General features: G+C 42.3%; 1 long non-coding RNA gene across 2 annotated transcripts in view, besides 3 other annotated features; it reads right to left on the bottom strand.

Moving 5' to 3' along the window:
- LINC01115 (long intergenic non-protein coding RNA 1115) overlaps nucleotides 1–24,471 on the bottom strand; it is an 88,587-nt gene that overhangs the window by 44,279 nt on the left and 19,837 nt on the right. The gene's annotated exons all lie outside the window — the stretch shown is intronic.
- Nucleotides 5,941–6,843: an enhancer, noted in NCBI's record as "OCT4-NANOG-H3K4me1 hESC enhancer chr2:826030-826932 (GRCh37/hg19 assembly coordinates)". NCBI's record gives its function as "activates a minimal SCP1, AML or CMV promoter by ChIP-STARR-seq in primed H9 embryonic stem cells {active_cell/tissue: H9 hESC(primed)}" and the evidence as "EXISTENCE:reporter gene assay evidence [ECO:0000049][PMID:30033119]".
- Nucleotides 6,844–7,745: an enhancer, noted in NCBI's record as "OCT4-NANOG-H3K4me1 hESC enhancer chr2:826933-827834 (GRCh37/hg19 assembly coordinates)". NCBI's record gives its function as "activates a minimal SCP1, AML or CMV promoter by ChIP-STARR-seq in primed H9 embryonic stem cells {active_cell/tissue: H9 hESC(primed)}" and the evidence as "EXISTENCE:reporter gene assay evidence [ECO:0000049][PMID:30033119]".
- Nucleotides 6,955–7,172: a silencer, noted in NCBI's record as "fragment chr2:827044-827261 (GRCh37/hg19 assembly coordinates)". NCBI's record gives its function as "represses an EF-1alpha promoter that drives an FKBP-Casp9 reporter gene in an ReSE screen in HepG2 liver carcinoma cells {active_cell/tissue: HepG2}" and the evidence as "EXISTENCE:reporter gene assay evidence [ECO:0000049][PMID:32094911]".

A 24,471-nucleotide genomic window follows, 5' to 3' on the forward strand; every position in this document is an offset into this window, starting at 1 on the left:
TTCAAAAACATAAAATACAGGCAGACAAATGATGAGCTGAGGGCAACGCAGACATGCAGGCCCCAGGAACTGCCCCATGGGCAGGTGGTTTCTCCTGCAGCAGTGACCAGCGGTGTGGGCGCAGAGACCATCAGGAGGATGGAATGGAAACTGGAGCTAAGAATCAGACCCTCACAGACACAGATACTTAGCTTATGGCTGAGTTTGGGGTAGAGAGCAAAGTGATGTGTTTTTTTTTTTTTTTTTTACTTCAATAGATAATATTGGGTCAAATAAATATGAAAACTAAATAATGAGACTTGATATATACTTTATACTGCACACAAAAATAAATGTAGGGTGAATTTTAAATCTAAATGTGAAAGACATAAGAAGACAAATTGTAAACAATAACAAGATATCTACATTTTTTATTAGGGAATTATTTCTTTAAAGAGACACAAGGAATAACAACCATGAAAGAATAAATCGACACATTGGATTGCATTTGTATTAAGAATATTTGCTCCTGCAGAGACACCGATAAAAAGTTAAAAGCAAGTCACACGGTGCAGGAGCGTCCTTGCGACACGTAGCTGGCAGAGAGCTTGTCGCTGACACAGAGAATAACTCCCATAAATCAGGATCAAAACCATAAATGGCCTAATTAAACAGATGGGTAAGAGACTGAAATGGGTCCTTTACAGAAGAGGATATCCAGCTGCCCAATATCCGTATGAAATGTCTTAGACCTCATTTGCAAACAACTTTCTGTAATTAGGAAAATGCAAAATTAAAGCGCAACGGATACCACCACACCATGGATGGCGAAACAAAAGGAAGCAATATTGCCATCATCAGGCCACAATAAAGGTACTCATTTATGACCTGGCAATGTCACACCTAACAAGACACAGAGCAGGGCTGCGAGCTGTGTGCAGGAGGACACATGGACGGATATTCACACAATTGAAGATTTGAAAGACGCCAACGTGCAGCAGGGGCAGGGTGTGGACACAGCCCTTCGGGGGAGGAGTCCACAGCAGGGGCGTCTGCAAACCTTTTCTGTAGGAGCCAGGCAGTGAGTGGTGTAGGCTCTGCAGGCCATGCGGCCTCTATCAGGGGCTCACCCTGGCCACTGCAGGGAGCAGCAGTCTTCGCCAACAAGTAAAGGAAAGAGCATGGCTGTGTCCCAATAAGACTTTGTAGACTAAAACAGGCCACAGTAGCTGAATGTGGCCCCCACAGATGGTAGTTTGTTGACTCCTTGTTTAAAGCAATATAAGTTAATGGACTGAAGTGATATGTGTGCAGTAAAGTGGATAAATATCACAAATGAAATGTCGCATAAAAACAGGTAGACACAAGAGTGCAGATCACAGAATTCCATTTTCATAAATTTCAAACAAGATAAAACCATAGTATTCAAAGGTGAAGGTCTAGGTTGTAGAAAGGATGAAGAAAGAAAAGTGAGGAAAGGACAACTACGAATGATCAGTCTGGTTGTTCCTTTTTCAGAAAAAGGAGGAGGTAGTGACTGTGAGAGGTGTGAGGGAGTACCGTAGGTTACTTTCAGTCTTCTGCTTTTTGACCAAAGTGTTTGATTGATCATAAGCTTCCAAACTGTGCATTTTGTTCTTTTTTATATGTGTGTTATAATTTGCAATACAAATAAAATGTTCTCATATTTATCTATGTAAAATAATGAATTTGTGGTGGGTAACCCTCCAAAGTATATAGCATTCCCATTTCACAAGACAGACAGCTGTGGCCCGAGAAGACAGACTCGGTTCTCAGAGATATGAAGTAGAATAGTGGCACTGGGATGACAATATGTGTTTTTAGCAGAGGGAGGTGAGGACTGAAGCTTGTTTTTATAAAACTCTCTTTTAAAACCTGGAGTTAAAGGGAGTGCAGGAGGCAAAATTTAAAAGATGCCCCACACCCCAGCCCCAGCAGTGTCAATCCTGGGCTATCTGGTCAACACTAATCTCAACACCCCCCTGAAGGAGATTTGCAGACAGAATTAAAGTCCCAAGTCAGGTGACCGTAAATAAGGTAAATAACTATTCCTGGAATTTCATGTTGAAATTTTTTTGTATCTGTGATTTTGTATCCCCTCAAAAACATGAGAGTGAAAGAATATAAAAGATAGTAATCTTGGTGATGAGTGCATGAGTGTCTTTATTGAATGCTTAAAATATTTTATAATTAATAAAAATGCATAAGTAAGAATACAAATAAATAATATGAAAATGAGACAAGGGATCAGGAAAATATACTATGTATTTGTATAAGATTTAATAGTTTTTCACCAAAAGTAAAAGTTGGTAAGAATTAACAGTGTAACATATATTTTAGACTACTGGAAAAACAGTTTTACATGCCAGGCATGTAAGGAAAGTAAAATGTGCTTTTGGTAAAAGATTATAATAAGTCATGGGAATAGTATTTTCTTGCCCAGTTTAGAGGGTTAAAGGATTGTTTTAAGTTAGATAGAATAAAGCTAAAAGTTTGAGCAAGTTGTGGAAGGTTTGTGAAAAAGTAGTCTTGTAAAAGAAATTCTGTGTGTGATCACATTGCTAAAGTTAAAGGGGTATTATTCAGTTATTCTGTAAATTGAACATAGGAATGAAAGCATAACACAGTTTTCTTAGAACATTGCTCTGCTTTTTAACAGAAAACTGTAAAGGGTTATAAAAGGTTTATGAAAATCTTTCATTATGGTCAAACTGATTAATATTAAATAGATTTGTCCATAAGGTTTTATTAAGAATTGGATTTAACATCAATAGTACACTAATGCAAAGGTAAAATTTGGCTTTTTTTTGAACTGTATTTGTATAAATGTGTTGTTGGTATGTGTTCCAAAATCATGTGAAACTTCCATAATTCTAATATGACTTAGTATACATTATTAGTAATAACTATAATTATTTTAAATAATTGTGTGCCACAGAAGTGACAAATTTCCTTGTCAATTGTGTCTTTGACTATGGCTGCCCTAAGGTTTTTTGTTATCCACAGACAATTGTCTCATTCTAATTATCTTTTTTTTTTTTTTTTTTTTTGAGACGGAGTCTCTCTCTTTCGCCCAGGCCAGAGTGCAGTGGCGCTATCTTGGCTCACTGCAAGCTCCGCCTCCTGGGTTCACACCATTCTCCTGCCTCAGCCTCCCGAGCAGCTGGGACTATAGGCATCCACCACCACATCTGGCTACTTTTTTGTATTTTTTTTTTAGTAGAGACGGGATTTCACCATGTTAGCCAGGATGGTGTTGATCTCCTGACTTCGTGATCCGCCTACCTCGGCCTCCCAAAGTGCTGGGATTACAGGTGTGAGCCACCGCGCCCGGCCACAAACAGACTCTTTTAAGGAATCAAAGTTCACTTATAGAGCCGATAAAGGCCTGTTGGGAAAACTGGCCTAATACTTTGTCTACCCAGTCCCTGTGCAGGGTTCCTGACCTGTAGTAAGTAAAGAACGTTACTTTCTAAGAGGCCCAGGAACCCAAGTTATCTTGGGACCTGAAGAGAAGAAGAATTTATGCAGCTAATACAGGTATTTGATGGCACAAGTCCATGGCAGGGCTCAAGGCTTTAAAAAGTCTTATCTGAGATTCCTTACGGAACAAAGTTCTATCAAAGCCAATTTTAAAAAGAGGTTATGATTATTCTTGCTATGTTTTATGCAAATAATCAGGCCAAGTATAATATGACTAAAGCTTATTTTGCAAATGAATCAGTCCTATCATGATTTGATTTTAATAAAAATTAGGACTATAGAGATAAAAATTATGTTTCAAGAACTGTAGTACACCTGTTATTAGATTCCAGTCTCATCAGTTGTTCATGAGGTTTTTTTTTCCATGCAATTCAGACTGATCCTGCTCACTCCTATCAACCAACCATGATGTCTGGCTGCAGCTCAGAAGAAACAAGAGGGATGGGTAATGCAAAAATCTGGATCAATATTCTAATTTTGGGCATATACTGGAATTAAGGGCTAACAAGAGCAGATCCACTCTTTAGCAGCCGTAGTCCTTCAAATCATTAAGGGCTGACAAGAGCAGATCCACTCTTTAGCAGCCATAGTCCTTCAAATCATTAAGGACTAACACTAACACACAACAGGTAGGACCAATGTTAACTAATGTTCACAGCAGCTCAGAGAGGAGTTTCCTTAGCCTCAAATAAAAAATATTGCTTTTGGGTAAATCAATCAGGAAAAGTACAAGACAACATCAGACAACTTGTAAATGCAGCCTCTTGTTTGTGGGAACAAGCCTCTCAGGGCTGGCTTGTTCTCCAAAAGGAACCTGGGGAAGGAACCTAGAAATGGCTCTCCTGGGTTTTTCCCTTTGAAGACCACTTGTTAGTCTCCTACTTTTGCTCCTTCATGGTCCATGTCTTCTAAATCTAATAACCTGATATGTCTCCTCCTGCCTTCAGGCCATCAAGTTCCAGATGACCCTCAGCGGAATACCATCCTCTCAAGATTCAAGAGCCATCCTTCTACAGAGGACCCTTAGACTGCCCATCAGTGTAAAGCAACAGAGTTGAAATCTTGCCCCATCTCCCTTGGACCTGGCTAGACACTGCTTTCACCAACCTAAAGAGTCATCTGCCTTCCCTGACAGCAGCAAGAGGCCAAGACCCACAGAACCACCACCACTGCCCGTGTGTCAACAGGAAGCAGTTACAGAAGACTGACCTTAATCCATTTTCCCCCAAAATTGGGGTCTTGGACTCTTGAGGGGGAAATGCTACAGCAGGAAGTCAGGCAGACGTGAGAGCCCCCCTGGCCAGGAATGTCAGGTAACTATCAGGTGATGGCCAGGAGGTGGTTAACAGTCTCTCCAAAATAATTGGTCACAGCTGGCACCAGGGAACAGCAGTTTCCCAATGGACAGAAAACACCTGAAACTGGATCAGCAGCTTCCCCATAAGATCTCAGGAGCTGGGTGAGCAGGCTCAAGCACGCACACTAAAAGGCAAAATGGTGGAGTTTAACTGGTATATGACCTTCCAGGAATATTCAGCTACTATGGGAAGAACGCCTCAAGCAAGCAGACGTACAACTTCAGTAAACCTACTGTGCACATGGCCCCTCCCAAGGGCTGGCAGGCCACTGTGCATGCGGACAGCCCACCGCATGGGAATAATCAGGGGAAAGGGATGCAACTGAAAGCATGCCAATGGATACAACTCCAAGTCAAAGGTCAAACCACACACTTGACTTGCTCAAGCCACCAACTTGCCTTCTTCCAAGTGGACTTTCCTTTCTTTTGTTCCCACTCTAGGCTTTTTAATACGCTTTCTCTCCTCCACTAAAACTTGCCTTAGTCTCTCCTTCTGCCTATGCCCCTCAATGAAAGTCTTTCTTCCGAGGAGACAAGAACTGAGGTTGCTGCAGACTCATACAGATTCACCATGGCTAACCCTCATAAGTCACGTGCCAGCTCAGGACAGCAATGTTTATCTTTCTTCCTGCTGACTCTGTGTTGTTGAGGAAAACATCATATTTTTGTCTCCAAGATTCAGGCTTAGAAATGCTTCTTCATAAGGATTCATTTTGATGCTTTTGCTTTCCCCTTGAAATCTACCTGAAAGGATCATCCAGAATTGAACCTTCAGGACCTAAGCCTCTGGGCAAGATTCAATCTTTCCTCCCTTTTCCAGCTCTGCATAGTGTAAATGTGGTGGGGTTTCACCCCAATTCCTGTTGTAAACCAAAAAGTATCTGAGATGGGTCTCAATCAGTTTAGAAGTTTGTTTTGCCAATGTTAACCGCATGCTCAGGAGAAAAATAACAACACGGAATCACAAAAACAGTCCATGGTGTGTGCCTTTCTCCAAAGATGATGCTAAGAGCTTCTATAGTTGAAGGGGAAATGGGAGCTGGAGGGGAAAGAGGAAGGGTGTGGTCATCCACATGCGGCAAGAGGAAAGGACAGGCAGAACAGTCAACTGCGCAACCACCTCCTGCCCAGCAACTCTGCACTTTCCATAAGACAAAGTGGACATAGAGCAGCTGCTTGTGGAGATGCATCACCTTCTATCTGTCGTTCTCTGCTTAGGAACAAAAGGAAAGGCAGCTGCTTGCACGACTCGTCTTCCAGCTTCATTCCTCCTCTTTGCAGAGTAAATGGGGTCCCCAGCTCTTAGTTTCCTTTCATGGTGCCGCAGCCAGAGTGAACGCAATAATCAAATGCATTTTCCTTCTATGTAGAGAAAAGGAAAATATACTTTACCACCAATTTTTGTGTCTATTTTTATTTGCACTGTTTGAAATTGGTAAACTCTGATTACTTCCTTTGAGGTCACTTTACCCACACAATGCCTCCAACGCTGACATGGACTCCGTTCTCCACTAGCTGCAGTCAGGCCCCTCCTCACCTCCTCCTGCCATGGCCCAGTTCTTGGCTGCTGAGCCCAGGTTAGCAAGACTACCCGAGTCGAACCCATGTCCCCGACCCCTCAGCATTCCTGGCCCTTCGTCCCTGGAGGTCCTTGCTGTGTTCGGCTGAGCCCAGGCCCGCACTTTGGCCTTGCAGCCCTGAGGCAGCAACTGGAATAAACTCTGTCTTGCTATTTTTAACAAGCCTCTGCTACAAATCACAACAGGCCCCTTTAGGGTCTGGCATTTGAAAAGAGTAATTCCTTTTCTATTAAAAAAAATTCCTTAAAGACTTTATATAACTGAGAAAAAACCTTGCAAAGCATCACTCAACAGCAACAAGAAAACACAACAACTTAAAGATTAGGATAGAGTAAACAGGGTTTCATCCCAATGAAAGTGCCAGGGCTGAGCACCTGCTGAGAAGGTAGTTATGCTGAAGGATCCCCCTTTGCCCTGTCCCCTGAAGGCACTCACATCTGTAAAGCCCCCTTTCCTTTCCCTGCTGTGCTGATTATTTCAGGGCCCTTTCCATTATCCCGAGCTGCCCTACCTGAATCCCTGTCATCCAGCCCACAGCAACCCCTCAAGCCCTACCTCAGTCTCCCCACGTGACCTCCCCCACATGCTGGCCTGCACCCTTCTAGGGTGGATGGTTCTCTTACTTGGTTGTGGACACACAGGGTGGTCCCTGCTCCTGCCAATGGAGTTCATTTCCTCAGCCCAGCCCGGGGTGTCCACTTTCCCACTCTGACCATACCCCTCGTCTCTTTCTGGTGAGGACCTGGGAGCTGCAACCTCCACCCTCACCCTCTGTTCTCCATTGTCCCAACAGCCCTCTCCTGCCCATCCCAATCCTCAAGACCCCTGCTTAGGCCTTCCTATGCCGTTCGCTGCGCAGCAGGCTTCTCCCTTGTGTGGGACTCCGCACATGTCCTGCCCGTCCCACCTCACACTGAGTTACTGATCCTCTGGTGGGCGCCCCCCTGGCACCTGCCTGTGAGATTGGAGGCTCACCTGGCTTCCATACCACCCCCCAGGATGAAACCCAGGGCTTCGCGTGTGGTCGCGTTCAACATCTTTTCCAAATACCTGCATGAATTCTGTGACATTTTTATGCCTAGCACTGCAGGCGTCTGAGCCCTCATAAAGTCCTTTCACTTGACCTTAATTACACAAATGGATATGATTCTACAGGGGAATAAAAATAAATTGGCATATCACAGACGGGATGTTTACTTTTAGTGGAAACTTAGCAAAACCCTTTTGTAGAATGACTTTCCCATTCACAGTCAAGAGTATTTTTAGATCAGCAGCCAACACTGAACAGGAGCCAAGAGGAACTTCCCGCAACCCACGTTCTTTCACTGACCACCACCCTGTCTAGCACCTTCCAGAGGACGAGCTTGTTCTGACCCTCATCACCAGAATCTCTGTGACCCAATGAACATGGAAATTCATTAAAAATAAATTTAAAATGTCTGCAACAATCTACTTTATGATCCATTAGAAAATGTATTACATACCTTTGACTTATCATAGAGAGATCACTGCTCTGTTTTAAAATTCTTCATACAGTGACTTTTTAAAATAAAGTCTTATGAAACATGCTTGAAATAGATGCCAAAAATTCTTACAAACATTACTATATGCTTTTTTTTTTTTTTTCTGAGATGGAGACCCACTGTGTCACCCAGGCTGGAGTGCAGTGGCACAATCTCGGCTCACTACAATCTCCGTCTCCCATAATTCCTCCACCTCAGCCCTCCAAGTAGCTGGAATTATAGGCATGCATCACCATGCCCAGCTATTTTTTCTATTTTGGGTAGAGACAGGGTCCCAAGCTTTTATTTTCAACCATGGCTTTTATTATAGTCAATGGGGTGTCTTCATGTTGGCCAGGATGGTCTTGAACTCCTGACCTCAAGTGATCTGTTCACCTTGGCCTCCCAAAGTGCTGGGATTACAGTTGTGAGCCACTGAGCCAGCCAACATTCCTTATATGCTTTATTGGACCTTTTTTCTTAGTTTTTTTCTTTAATGTGTCACCTCATTAATTGTGTTTGGACTCATTTCAAAATACTGTTTTCCTGTCTTTAGAGGAAGAGATTGGCTATTGCTTTCTCATTATAGTTCTTGTGTTTGTCTTCTACAGTCACTTTTTAAATGTAAAACAACAGATATGGTTAGGCTTTGTGTCCCCACCCAAATCTCAATCTTGAATTGTAATCCCCATAATGGGAGGTTTCCCCCACAGTTCTCATGCTAGTGAGTGAATGCTCAGGAGATCTGATGGTTTTGTAAGGGGCTCTTCCCCCTTCGCTCAGCACTTCTTCCTGCTGCCCTGAGAATAAGGTGCCTGCTTCCCCTTCATTTTCCCCCACGACTAAGTTTCCTGAGGCCTCCCAAGTCATGCTGAACTGTGAGTCAACTAAACTTCTTTCCTTTATAAATTATCCAGTCTCAGGCAGTTCTTTATAGTAGTAAGAAAATGGACTAATACATCAATTTATGATTTAATTTTGGTACATAAGGAAGAAATGCAAACCCAGAAGACAACTCGCTTGAGACCAGGACTCACCATGACTATGGTTTTGCATTAAGTCATTCATAGCATCTCACTCCTGCTTCTTTTTCGTGGTAGAGGGGAGATCCACTGACCATGTCTAGTCTGGATTCCAAATTCTCATGTTTTTGTCTCTGTGCTTTTCATACACAGAGCCAAAAACTCTTGTCTACTTCTTTCAAGTCTACTGAATGCAACACTGCCATGACTACCAATCTGCAAGTACAGAACACTTTTACAGGTTCGTGGTTAAACCAATAACCTTGACATTCTTATGGGGAAGTCCTGTGGTTCAGAGTGATGGGGAACAGAACCGTGAAGGCCCTGAAGGAAGAATGACGGGGCAGGTCTCACCACTTTGATTTGCCGTCTGGCATCTAAGTCCTCTCTGAGCTGTTTCTCACTTCACAGATTCTTCACCCAGCTTACAACCCAGAGCTTCTCTCAAACCTCCAAGTAGGTTTAGCTCTCAAAGGTTTCCTTGTTGCCCTTATCTCACGTACTAAATTGTAAGATATTTTGTTCATAAGCATTTTTCATCCTCACTGGCTTTTCCTTCTTTTCTTTGCTTTGTTTGTTTTGTTTTGCTTTGTTTTTGACCGAGTCTCACTCTGTCACCCAGGCTGGAGTGCAGTGGTGCAATCTCGGCTCACTGCAACCTCTGTCTCTCAGGTTCAAGTGATTCTCCTGCCTCAGCCTCCCAAAGTAACTGGGATTACAGGTGCCTGCAACGACATCCAGCTCATTTTTTTAAAATTTATTTTTAGTTGAGACAGGGTTTCACCATGTTGGCCAGGCTGGTCTTGAACTCCTGACCTCAGGTGATCCACCCACCTTGGCCTCCCAAAGTGCTGGGATTACAGGCGTGAGCCACCGTGCCTGCCCGGCCTCTTTCCTTTTAAAACATCTTGGTGGTTACTAGATGGAATGGCTCTCATTTTATGTCCAAAAATATTTAAGCATGTTGTATGTGAGGAATTGAAAGCTGTCCTAATCAGCTATTTGAAAAACACGTGTGTTGTCACCCCGAGGACGGACGCATTTTATTCCAAAGAAAACATGGCCTCAGGGGGACGCAGAGCCTCCTCCAGGATGCCACCATCAGGAAACTCTAGGAAGGAAAGAGGATGCCAAAGGAGGGGAGATTTCAAGAGAGAGGGGTGGGTAGAACAGGGAGAAGGGAGAAGGGTGGTCAGTGAAGACCAGAGCTGATGTGGGACAGGGCGGAACACCAACAGGGTGGGAGCCCCAGCCCTATGGCAACTGATTCAGGAGCTGCCTCGGCGGTGCTTCTCCCATCCTGGAGCCCCCCACCCTTGCCTTCAGCCCCATTTCCTCATGTTTTCTCTTGCCATAACAACTTCTTCCTTCAGAGAACTCTCAGAATAACATTTACGCTGGGGCTGACTCCTCTCTTGGGGACCTGCACTTTAACTGTGTCTGTGTCTCGTGAGGAAGCCCTCACGGCCTTTGTGTCCTTATAGGAGCTGCGGATCAAACGTGAGCAGTTGGGACATGCTGGCTGGCAGGTGATGACATCCTCCCTCACAACCACAGCCGGAGAGGCCGGGCATCCCACCCACAGCCTTCCTGGCAAAGCAGCCCTTACAGAAGTACAGATGCAATCTGCTGCAGCTCTACCTGTAATATTCCAAAAAAGAGTTTGATTTGCCTGTGGTCTTGAGGAATCTCAAAGTTTCCATACGAGTTCTGAACAGGCTTGATAAATACACATTCCGAAGATAGCCAGGCTGCCTGTTTCTACAGTTTTTGCAGTTCCCATTCATGATCTAAACTCACTGTGGTCAAACCAGAGCAAATCTGTGTTACCTGTTTATTGCTGCATGCATTCTTTCATCCACTTATTCTGGGTGAGCCTGGGAGTGTTTAGGAGACACTCAAGGGTCTCGGCTACAGGTCTCCCCTGGCCTCAGTGCTTTTCCCCAGACCACACACAGCAAGTCCCTTCAGCCCTGCAGTAGCTTCTTGAACGTAAGAAACATTTAGGACTGCGAAAGAACTGCTTAAAAATATAGAAGTCAGGAAGTTAAGCAAACCTTCCTTTATTCGCCAGAATCTCTGACATCATTTCTAATTCTGTTCTCATCGTTTCTAATTCTGTTCTCTTGCCCCCGCAATAATAAACAAAATAACTACCGGAGTCATCTGAGAATGACAAATTCTAATACATAACACGTGTGGGATGTGTTACCTGAGACAACACAGTGAGTGTCTGTGCAGGAACAGCCGGAATCATCCAGAAATTCTCTCATTAAGGAGTGTGTTAGGTCAATTTCCTTAAAAGGAAATGTACAACTTTAATGCAATAAAAATTAATACCTGTGAATCATTCCATAGTAAACTACTTTTGGTTCATCCATTAAGTGTGATGTTACAGCCAAGTTCTTTTCATTGATATAAAACAATTATGTTATTATACGGAAGCATTCATCCAGAAGGGACGGAATTCTCCTTAGACAGAAGCTTTCCAAGTATGGTTATGGGCAGAGGGAGGAAGGGAAATTTGGAACCCAAATTTGGAGGCTATTTTGGTTCAGTAATTCAATCTCAGTGCATTCTTTTTTTTTTTTTTTTTTTTTTTTTTTTTTTTTTTTTGAGACGGAGTCTCGCTCTGTCGCCCAGGCTGGAGTGCAGGGGCGCAATCTCGGCTCACTGCAAGCTCCGCCTCCCGGGTTCACGCCATTCTCCTGCCTCAGCCTCCCGCGTAGCTGGGACTACAGGTGCCCGCCACCACGCCCGGCTAATTTTTTGTATTTTTTAGTAGAGACGGGGTTTCACTGTGTTAGCCAGGATGGTCTCGATCTCCTGACCTCGTGATCCGCCCGCCTCGGCCTTCAGTGCATTCTTTTTAGAAACCGCAACACCAAGTGCCTATGAACAGCCGGGGTGCAAATGGGAACACCAGTCCCCATGCCCATTGCTTCTTTTCCAGGAAAATAACAAATAAAACATCTAGAAAACAATCTTTCTATTGGTGGATAAAACGGTTAGGTCACATCAGCAATAAAGCAGTACCCTGTGACTTCAAGGAGCATCTCCAGCCTGTATTATCTGCACTTGGAAAAATGCATTGCAAGAGTCGCTGAAGTGAGTTATAAGGTAACACTTGTCTGTAAGATTTCTAATGTTCTATAAATTCTGTCATCCAGAAAGCCCAGCTGTTCCTTCCCAAAGGCCAATTAGATGATGCAGCCTTGTGTGGGAAGCAGGTTGAGGGGAGAAAAGGATGAGGGTCCCCTTTTCTTTCCACAGTGACACCCTGTTCACCAATCTGTGATGTGACAGCAGCCTCAGGCTCCCCCAGAGAGCTACATGGCCACAATTTCAACTTCTGATACCTTAGAAAAGAAGGAGAGTGCTCAGTTCACACAAGGTTAGAACTGAGGGGCGATGTTTATATTCACGGGTGAGGAACGAGGGATGTTATAAATACATGCCTGTGTGTTCTGGGCTGTACCTGCCACCTAAAACGACAGCTACATTATAAAACACACACAAAAACAGAACTTTTAAATTATGAAATAGAACTGAAATAAACAATAGGTTTAAGATACTTTATTTTATATTTGTGACTGTTGTAGAAGGCTTTTTTGTTCTTACTGAAATGTTGGTAGAGCTGATGCTTTTGATGAGAGAAAAATGAGTGAATATGATGAATTATTTGATAGCTATTGGCTCAAAACTTGTGGTATGAGAGAATGAGTCAGTACTAATTCTATGTTCAGGTTTTTGCTATTGGCTTTGTGGCAGTTGTGTTAAAGCATATATACAGTTTTAAATTGTGTAGAGCCACATGGAAGCTGTGTGTGATGTACTTTCAAAACCAAGATATTTATTTTTCAATATCAACTACCAATTCTGGTTTTTGTTGAAATTTGATATTGTTCCTATCTTTCCTTGTATCAGTCCATTTTTATGCAAATAAACCACATTTCAAAATATGTTATATTTTTATGTCATATTTTAGTGAATGAATTCAAAATCTATCCAACAACTTTTTTTGAAAGATTCTAACTGGGTGAGAAAATTTGGTTTCAATGATTTATGAAGCAGATACAGAAGTTTTATTAAGGTCATACGTGATTGTTTCTAGCAATAAAGTTATTGGAACCTTAGAAATATTCATTTTTAATAAGCTCTCTCCAAAGTGTAAACTTACTTAGAATACATTCATTCTTTTCTCCATTTTTAGAATGTCACTTTTATTCTGAGGAGCAGATTGTTTATTTAAAAATACTTGACAGCTTATATACTAAATTTTTTCAACAACAAAAGTCTCGGTCATCTTTAGTTGCAATAATTTAATTATTTTGCCACAAGATGACTGTGAATCAATGTGAGATAGAGAAGATTCTCATGGTAGATGCTTTATTATTGTAAAAGACTACAGGATGCTGTCATTATTTAGAAGTCTTTTTAGAAATATAAAACATATTACTTCTATAATGCTATCACCTTCCATAAAATTTTTATCTGTTTCTTACATGTTTTTGCTACAATAGCTTGCCTATGAAAGACGCTGTATTTCAAATCCGTATGTGGTGTATATATATATATATATATATATATATGTATACATATATATGTATATGCATATGTATGTATATGTATATATATGTATATGAATATATATATATATTCCAATCAAAACAGCCCGTTAGACCAAGGTCATTCTTACACAGTTCCCATAATGCATCATCCTTACTAAAAAAGGTCATTTTCTATTGAGGATAGTTTTTTTTTTTCCCCAGCTAAGGTATTACCTCTTTGCTTCATAGGTTAATAAAAAATAGTCTGTACACAATAAAAAATGATACAGGGGGTATCACCACTGACCCCACAGAAATACAAACTACCATCAGAGAATACTATAAACAGCTCTATGCAAATAAACTAGAAAATCTAGAAGAAATGAATAAATTCTTGGACACATACACCCTCCCAAGAGTAAACCAGGAAGAAGTCAAATCCTTGAATAGACCAATAACAAGTTCTGAAATTGAGGCAGTAATTAATAGCCTACCAGCCAAAAAAAGCCTAGGGCCAGATGAATTCACAACCGAGCTCTATGAGAGGTACAAACAGGAGCTGGTACCGTCCTTCTGAAACTATTCCAAACAATTAAAAGGAGGAAGTCCTCCCTAACTCATTTTATGAAGCCAGCATCAACGTGATACCAAAACCGGCAAGAGACACAACAAAAAAAGAAAACTTCAGGCCAATATCTCTGATGAACATCGATGTGAAAATCCTCAAAAGAATACTGGCAAACTGAATCCAGCAGCACATCAAAAATCTTATCCACCACGATCAAGTTGGCTTCATCCCTGGATGCAAGGCTGTTCAACATATGTAAATCAATGAATGTAATCCATCACATAAATAGAAACAGAAACAAAAACCACATGATTATCTCAATAGATGCAGAAAATACCTTTAACAAGATTCAACATCCCTTCATGGCAAAAACTCTCAATAAACTAGGTATTAACTGATAGAATATATCTCAAAATAATGAGTTATTTATGAAAAACCCACAGCCAACATCTTATCGAATGGGCAAAAGCTGGAAGCATTCCCTTTGAAAACGAGTACAAGACAGTGATACCCTTTCTCACCACTCCTATTCAACATAGTATTGGAAGTTCTGGCCAGGGCAATCAGGCAAGGAAAGAAATAAAGTGTATTTGAATATGAAGAGAGGAAGTCAAATTGCCTCTGTTTGCTGATGACATGAGTCTATAATTAGAAAACCCCATCATCTTAGCCTTAAGCTGATAAGCAACGTCAACAGTCTCAGGATACAAAATCAAGGTGCAAAAAATCACAAGCATTCCCTTACACCAACAACAGACAAGCAGAGAGCCAAGTCATAAATGGACTCCCATTCACAATTTCTACAAAGAGAGTAAAATACCTAAGAATACAGCTAACAAGGGATGTGAAGGACCTCTTCAAGGAGAACTACAAACCACAGCTCAAAGAAATGAGAGAGAACACAAACAGATGGAAAAACATTCCATCCTCCTGGATGGGAAGAATCAATATCATGAAAATGGCCATACTGCCCAAAGTAATTTATAGATTCAATGCTATCCCCATCAAACTACCATTGACATTCTTCACAGAATTAGAAAAGACTACTTTAAATTTCATATGGAACCAAAGAGACCATATAGCCAAGACAATTCTAACCAAAAAGAACAAAGCTGAAGGAATTATGCTACCTAACTTCAAAATACACTACAAGGCTACAGTAACCAAAATAGCATGGTACTTGTACGAAAACAGACATATAGACCAATGGAACAGAACAGAGACCTCAGAAATAACACCACATGTCTACAACCATCTGATCTTTGACAAACCTGACAAAAACAGCAATGGGGAAATGATCTTCTATTCAATAAATGGTGCTGGGAAAACTGGCCAGCCATATGCAGAAAACTGAGACTGGACCCCTTTCTTACACCATATACAAAAATTAAGATGAATTAAAAACTTAAATGTAAAACTCAAAACCATAAAAACCCTAGAAAAACACCTATGCAATACCATTCAGGACACAGGCATGGGCAAAGACTTCATGACAAAAATGCCAAAAGCCATTGCAACAAAAGCCAAGATTGACAAATGGGATCCAATTAAGCTAAAGAGCTTCTGCATAGCAAAAGAAACTATCATCAGAGTGAACAGACAACCTACAGAATGGGAGACAAGTTTTGCAATCTACACATTTGACAAAGGTCTAATATCCAGAATCTGCAAGGAACTTAAACAAATGTACAACAACAAAAAAACACAACCCCATCAAAAAGTGGGCAAATGATATGAACAGACACTTCTCAAAAGAAGACATTTATGTGGCCAAAAACATCTGAGAAAAATGCTCAACATCACTGATCATAAGAGAAATGCAAATCAAAACCACAAAGAGATACGATCTCATGCCAGTCAGAATGGAGATTATTAAAAAGTCAAGAAACAATAGATGCTGGTGAGGCTGTGGAGAGATGGGAACACTTTTACACTGTTGGTGGGAATGTAAATTAGTTCAACCACTGTAGAAGACAGTATGGTGATTCCTCAAGGATCTAGAACTAGAAATATCATTTAACCCAGCGATCCCATTACTGAGTATATACCCAAAGGATAATAAATCATTCCACTATAAAGACACATGCACACATATGTTTATTGCAGCACTATTCACAATAGCAAAGACATGGAACCAACCCAAATGCCCATTAGTGATAAACTGTATAAAGAAAATGTGGTACATATACACCATGGAATACTATGCAGCCATAAAAAGAAAGGAGATCATGTTCTTTGCAGGGACATGGATGAAGCTGGAAACCATCATCCTCAGCAAACTAACACAGGAAAAGAAAACCAAACACTCATGTTCTCACTCATAAGTGGGAGTTGAACAATGAGAACACATGGACACAGGGAGGGTCCTGTTGGAGGGTAGGAGGTGAGGAGAGGGAACTTAGAGGATGAGTCAATAGGTGCAGCAGACCACCATGGCACATGTATACCTATGTAACAAACCTGCACATTCTGCACATGTATCCTGGAACTTAAAGTTAAAAAAAAAAAAAAAAAAAAAAAAGGGTCTGTAAATGTGTTTATCAAATGTGAATAAACTTATTTCCTGTTTAACAAGCTAAAATAAATACAGATAAAGGTGCAATGTATCAATCCAACATTCCGAAGATCATCTTGCATGCCACATGGAGTGCGCACACCCCCACTGCGGTCATCGTGACATGATTCACGAACCTACTCCTTCATATCTGAGAATACCTGCCTGCCTGTTTCCCTAACTCTCCTCTGTCTTTGCTCCTCTATCCCACAGGAATGTCAAGAAGTGACACAGAAATCCAGGGTTAGTGCAGAGCCTGCGGTGGATGAGAATAGTCCAAGAAGCTGCGGGTCCCTCTCCACTACCTGCAGGAGGGAAGAGCCATGCAGGGTGGTGGCTGGGGACACACCAGGTCTGGTTCCAAATCCCCAAGAGGTTCCCCATGAAGTTGGTGAATGAGGGAGGTCAGAGGAGCAAAGGGCACATTGGTGTAGGGAGAGTAAGCGTCAGTCTCTCCGCTACTCGCCCTTTGATTTTCCCAAAGAATCGCTGCCTCTGTCTATTAGAATGACGTCATCTCACTGGGAGGACATTAATGAATAGTGGTCAACATGACTATGGCCTCTACCCTGCTAGATTTTTACTATTAAATATCTGCTGAACCAATGCCAAAAAGAAATACATGTTTAATTATTTTTTTAAATTCTACCTTTCACAGTCTGGGGTAATTTTTCCAATACTTCATGATAACTTTCCATTCCAAATCAAAGGATATGAAAATCTACCTTTTATGAACACCCCAACTATTCTACCTGCAAAACAACTTCAGCAATTACACTAATAATACAGGAATTTACATATATTTTTAATGCTTATGAAACTGTCTTATTTTTAAATTCAAAATAAATTATTAAAACTAATATAGAAGAAAATTAATGTATATGTTTTATGCAGCAGCAGGGCATAGAAAGGGAAGTAATTCAACATCATATTTTTCAGTGTCATAATCCCTACAATTAAATGCAAAGTATCTTTATTGAACTACATTAAATAGCTTTCATTTTAGACAAAAATATGGAACATGGTAAGCCACACTCAACATACCGTGAACAATTTCATGAGTTGTTAATATGAAAAAGGATAATGATATTCATAGTGATTGCAATTGTGTTAGTTCTTAAGAACCAAAACATCTTTGATTTCACTCTTCCTAAGTGGCTTGGTGGTAATGGACCATACACACATAAAATGAAATCAATGAAAGCCATAGTTTCAATTTTAAAAAGTATTTTAAGACTAAAATGAAATTTGTATGTTAAAAATTTGTGTATTTTTGTCATTTATATATGAAACTAATTTTGGACTATTTTCTGCTTATAGTTTTTATTTAAAAAATTAAATAAAATTAATTAAAATGAGTAAGTTAATTGGAAACGTTAAATAAAATGACTACATAAGAAAGTGGTTTAATTGGTGAAATCTGCTTTAGTCACATGTATTCAATGAACTTTCAAAATAACATTCGCACACACTGATGAAACGTTGGGAGAGCAAACGTGAGATCTTTGGCTTCTGTCAGATGCTCCTTGTCTCTGAGAAGTTGGCACACATGGGTGCACACAGCCTGTCCTCTCAGTATGTGACATGGCTGGTGCGTCCTGCAGAACCCTGAGCAGGGCCGTGGGTGGGAGCGCGCTGCTCCTGCAAGGCGCAGTGGACTCCGGATCAGGGAAGCCTGGCAGGGCTTCTTGCCCTTGACCCCACTTTTGGGGTCCAGCTGTGCAGGGTGTACAATCTTTCTGATTAAATGATCAAGCCTGCCTTACCAGCACCCACACTATGGCAGAAATGGAAAGGGAGACAGACAGAGAGTGAGGACTCAGCTTGAGCCATTGGCAGGAGGAGAGGGCCACTCAGGAAACACCAGGTGCTTTTCCTCCCACTCCCTCGGCGCTCCCAGCCCTGTTCACACCTCCCTACACAACAACAGCCTTCACCGCCTGGCCTTGGAGACGCCCGGGTTCCTGGGGTGGAAACTTTCTCCGTAGCAGTGGCTTGCCGTCCTGCTACAGTGGCCTTCTCAAATGAAGTCTCCCCTTACCTAAGTCAGGATTTGTTTTTTATTTGACAGCCACAGATCAACATTTCATCATGCCATAATTTATATTTAATGTATTTTTCCCAGTATTTTAGTATTCAAATAATAACATGATTTAAAGATCTTGGTGTATTAATATTTATACTTGTATGGATTTTATGGTAATTTTTAGAAGTAGAATTAGTGAATTTAAAGGTATGAACATTTCAAAGACCTTTGGGACATTTATTTTTTAAAAACAAGTTGCTAAGTTTAAGTCTTCATCAGATGTCTATGATATGCACATGGAAATATTTGAATATTTATATATTTTATGAAGTATTTCTATTATAAAATTTGTTTTGCATTAAACACTGGTGAAAATAATGTTTTCCCTATCCAAGCCTTAAATTCCTTTGCAAATCGGTCCATGAGGCAGGAAACACCCCTGGGCAGTGCCTGTCCTTGAGCGCTTTTCATCCATAGTCCCCAGGGAAGGGCTGCTCCGAAGGAAGCTGCTGGGAAAATGGGCGGCGTCCCCCAGTCCCCCAGGAACTACGATGTGTGCTGTGGGGGTTACTGGTGTCCCCCAGGAACTACCATGAGTGCTGTGGGGGTTACTGCAGAGCCTCTTTTTCAGATTAAGAAACTTCTACAACCTTTCTGGAGTTTTCTACAACCTCACTGGAGTTTTATGAATAATCAAAGGCTATTTTGGACCTATGGAGAAGGTTATATGACTATGTTATTAATACTATGTGGATTTGCCCTGATCGGCTTTTCAAAGGTCAAAGGCCCTTTGAAACCTTGGAATTTTGTATTTATGGAATAAACATGCCATCTTGATGTATTACCTGTCCCAGTGGATTTGATTAGCTAGTGTGTAGGAAGTTTTCAGATGTGTTCATAGAAGTGATTGATCTGTATTTTCATGCTGTGTACCCATGTCAGGTTCTAGTATAAATCAAGCTATTTGTATTTTTTCAGTATTATTTTGTCAGCTTTGGGAATTTGGGTTTTTCATGGAACGTGTACGTTTTTCTCCAAATTCCTCTCCATGCTTCAACATGGATATCTTCTATTGATCTGTCTTCCGGCTTATTAGTCCTGTCCCTTTCTGTGTTCAACAAGTTATTAAGGCCAACCATTGGGTTCTTCATCTTAGATCTAATCTGCACTTCTAGAATGTCCATTCTATACTATTTTATGGAGTCCAAATCTCTTCTGAAATTCTGTATTTTGTCATCGTTTTTGTTCAGTACACAATTGTTCACTTAACAGCAAAGAAATGGTGAAAGTGCCTGTGAACCAGCACACAATAGCCACTAAGTGTAAGAAAAGTATTCTTTCTTCAACTAGTGTCAGGAAGAGTGATAAAATAACTATTTCTTATCAAGAGGAGTTCAGATGAAGGGATCTTAATTGCAGCAGGAGTTAAGGTGCCATCCACACTCTGTCATGACCAGCCATTCAGCTCCAGCCACCACACACAAAGGTTCCTGCCAGGAGTGTCCTTGCTCCAAAACCACAATGCACACAGGATTTTCCCTTCATAGGTATAACATTCCTCTCATGAAAAAGGCTTATTTACAAGAGGATTGAGAGTAACATTTCTTCCAGATGAGATTTCAGAAACAATCGTAATTTTCTCAGAGATTCTCTATTGATGAGTTAGGAGTCAATGAGAAAAGTTGTATTGCTTTTGGCAGAAATAACACAAATACAGATTTTGATGGATGCATGCGTAAAGGTGCAGACGACGTTTATTCAAGGCTGAAGTGAAGCACAGCGCTGTGGGAAGTGGGGCTCCCCGGCCCGAAGACCACGACACTGTGAAAACGATAGCTGATCCCTTTGCTACAGACACGGAAGCAATTGTCTTCTTATTGCAGCATTGACACGATCTGAACTGAGTGATTAATGGATTTTTATAGAATTTTTGGCATTCAGTGTTCTTCAATTCTTCTGCATTGAAAAACCCAATGAGTCTCCTTAAAGAGCACAGCTGACAGCATCTTCAGTTTATCTGCAGCACTAAAATCATGTTAATTCCGAACAATAGCCCCAAGATATTCTTGTTGACTTTTAAAATAGTCCTTTGAGCGAAGCCTACTTACTTCTTCTTCATATTTTTCATCAGTGCTTGAGCAATCAGATTATGCAAGTTGAAAGAAGGAAGCCAGCAGTGTTGCTGAAGTTCTCTGCTGCTGGAAGGAACTTGCTGAAAGTGTTGAGGAGATAATCAATGGGAAATGCATTCCTTTAGGCATCAAGGCTGTTCTTAAATGCGATGACATTATTTACCAACAGGAAATGAAATTCTGACTTGAGGTGGGTGACTATTAAGGATTGGCCAGGACTGTCTTTTGGGATGGATTTTTGGGATGAATTTCACACTTAAATAATCCAGTTCCTTCACACAGATGTTACCAGCCATGCTACCAGTGTGGCCTTGAGTAAAACCAACAGGTGTAATGCTGAAGAAGGAAATAAAAATTGATAACATTTATCTTTTTTGTCAGTGGATTCTTTTTATGTTTTTGATCAAAAGACGTATATAATCCTGAAAAAAGAACGAGGGAAATATGATGCCGTGAAAGGTGGTACTGTGTGCTTCAGCACATCCGTTTTGAAGAGTGGTTCTCAGCCTGGTGGGCTTCATTCCAGTTCATCTTCTGCACACTGGCTCACATGCTAATGCTGACCATGCTTTCTCAGTAATGAGTGTTCCATGAGCCAAGGAGCAAAACATATTGTAGTGACCACTATAGCAGGTATGTTCCAAGATAAGGCAACACAGACTATCACTGCAAAGAATTATATAAGCAAATTCTTCAACACAAGAAACTTAAAGCAAACCAAATTATTGAGAAATGTCATTACAAACAGATGTGTGAAACTTCTATGCTCTAAATTATTAGATGAATGATCTGCAGTCTCATCTGTTGTCTCAATGCATACATGCATAGACGGAAATAAATCTCACTGGCTGTCCAGTGTTTTTATTTCCTGAATCTGACAATCCCATCTGCATGGCAGCTTCTGCTATCTATGCGTTTTCTTACAATTCATCAAATAATAAGTCTTGCATCCTGTGTACTGGTGTGACTAGTAATTTTGGATACATTGATAACATTACATATGAAAAAAGCATAGAGGTACCAGAAGACTGGTTCACCCAGCAGAGGCCTGCCCTTTGCTCTGCTCTGAAGACACAGTGGGACACCGATGGCCCTCACGTCAACAGAGCAGTGCTGGGTCGAGACGGGGCTGCAGTTTAGGTCAAGCTCCATCCATCTCTTTTTCTCTTCATGACTAGGGTTTTCACTAAGAATCTTGTTTCCTGCTTTTCTGAGGTTGGACTTAGTTCTGTAGCCTCTCCTCTCCCTGTGATAGTCTCAGGGTTTGACAAATGCCCTGAGAGTCTATCCTGGTGCACCCTGGAGCAAGCCTGGTGGTTCAGACCACAGGTCTGTGCAACGTTTTGTGTTTTCCCATCCTCCAGCAGTGGCTCTATGCCAGGGTTGCTGCGTGGAGAGCGGGTGGAATATCTGAAACCAGAAGGAAAGGACACCTCAGTCTACTGCACACAGAGGCTCTAGGGCTCAGCCTACTGCACACTGAGGCTCTAGGGCTCAGCCTACTGCACACAGAAGCTCTGGGGCTCAGCCTACTGCACACCGAGGCTCTAGGGCTCAGCCTACTGCACACAGAAGCTCAGGGGCTCAGCCTACTGCACACCGAGGCTCTAGGGCTCAGCCTACTGCACACCGAGGCTCTAGGGCTCAGCCTACTGCACACCAAGGCTCTGGGGCTCAGCCTACTGCACACCGAGGCTCTGGGGCTCAGCCTACTGCACACCGAGGCTCTGGGGCTCAGCCTACTGCACACCGAGGCTCTGGGGCTCAGCCTACTGCACACCGAGGCTCTGGGGCTCAGCCTACTGCACACCGAGGCTCTGGGGCTCAGCCTACTGCACACCGAGGCTCTGGGGCTCAGCCTACTGCACACCGAGGCTCTGGGGCTCAGCCTACTGCACACCGAGGCTCTGGGGCTCAGCCTACTGCACACCGAGGCTCTGGGGCTCAGTCTACTGCACATCGAGGCTCTGGGGCTCAGTCTACTGCACATCGAGGCTCTGGGGCTCAGTCTACTGCATACAGCAGCTCTGGGGCTCAGTCTACTGCACACAGCAGCTCTGGGGCTCAGTCTACTGCACACCGAGGCTCTGGGGCTCAGCCTACTGCACACCGAGGCTCTGGGGCTCAGCCTACTGCACACCGAGGCTCTGGGGCTCAGCCTACTGCACACCGAGGCTCTGGGGCTCAGCCTACTGCACACCGAGGCTCTAGGGCTCAGCCTACTGCACACCGAGGCTCTAGGGCTCAGCCTACTGCACACCGAGGCTCTAGGGCTCAGTCTACTGCACACTGAGGCTCTGGGGCTCAGCCTACTGCACACTGAGGCTCTGGGGCTCAGCCTACTGCACATCGAGGCTCTGGGGCTCAGTCTACTGCACACAGCAGCCCTGGGGCTCAGCCTACTGCACACTGAGGCTCTAGGGCTCAGCCTACTGCATGCACATCGAGGCTCTAGGGCTCAGCCTACTGCACATCGAGGCTCTAGGGCTCAGTCTACTGCACACTGAGGCTCTAGGGCTCAGCCTACTGCACACAGAGGCTCTGGGGCTCAGCCTACTGCACGCCGAGGCTCTGGGGCACAGCCTACTGCACACTGAGGCTCCAGGGCATGGCCTATTGCACACTGAGGCTCTGGGGCCCAGGCTGTTGCTCTGGAGCTACACACCTGTGCAGCCTGGGATTGCACTGAACGCTGCACGTGACTGTAACACAATGGTGAGCATTTGTCTATCTACATGCCTTCTTCCGGAACACCTCCTGAAGAACCTGCCAGAGGCTGTTTTACAGTTAACCTTTTAAAACATAAGTGGAAGGAGTACACTCTAAAATAAGGATAAAAAGTATCGTAAATACATAAACCAGCAACATAGTCATTTATTATCATTATCTAGCATTGTGTACGGTGCATGGTTGTATGTGCTGGACGTTACAGTTACCGCATCGCAGCCTTGTTTACACAGCATCACCACAAACAGTGAGCAATGCGTGGCACTCTGGCGTTAGGACTGCTGTGTCACCAGGCACTGGGGAATTTCAGCTCCATGATTATCTCACGGGACCACCACTGCATACGGGGTCTGTCATTGACCAAAACGTCCCTTTTCAGTGAGTGAGTGTATTTGTTTTAAAACTCTCAAAAATAGCATGTTTTTAGAAAAACCAGCTAAGTGTAAAATAATTGAAGTTTTTTTATTGGAACAAAGTAATCACATTTGAATTACATTAATTTGTTGCATGTCATATTTTATTTAATTACATCTAAAAGCTTTAGTATTAATAAAAAGTGTTATTTTGCTTAAGGTTATATTAAAGTAGTGCTCTTTTTTACACAGTTATTATATTTCTGTCTTATGGCACCATTTGGTAATAGTCTACCTCATCTGTTTTTTATTAAACAGACATTAGAAGTATAATTGCTTAAAAGTAGACATTACTGGAAATAATTAGCTAAGAATCGGGCCCTCAGCCTGACCAAAATCTGACTCCACTGAAGCTCTGAGCGGTTTTGTGAGCTCATGTTGGCCTCTGTGAATCTCAGCGGTTTTGTGAGCCCACATTTGCCTCTGTGAATCTCTGAGAGGTTTTGTGGCCCATGTTGGCCTCTGTGAAGCTCTGAGCAGTTTTGTGAGCCCACATTCACGTCTGTGAATCTCTGAGAGGTTGTGTGAGCCCATGATGGCCTCTGTGAAGCTCTGAG

Source organism: Homo sapiens, chromosome 2 (genome assembly GCF_000001405.40).
Source record: "Homo sapiens chromosome 2, GRCh38.p14 Primary Assembly".
Classification (NCBI taxonomy): domain Eukaryota; kingdom Metazoa; phylum Chordata; class Mammalia; order Primates; family Hominidae; genus Homo; species Homo sapiens.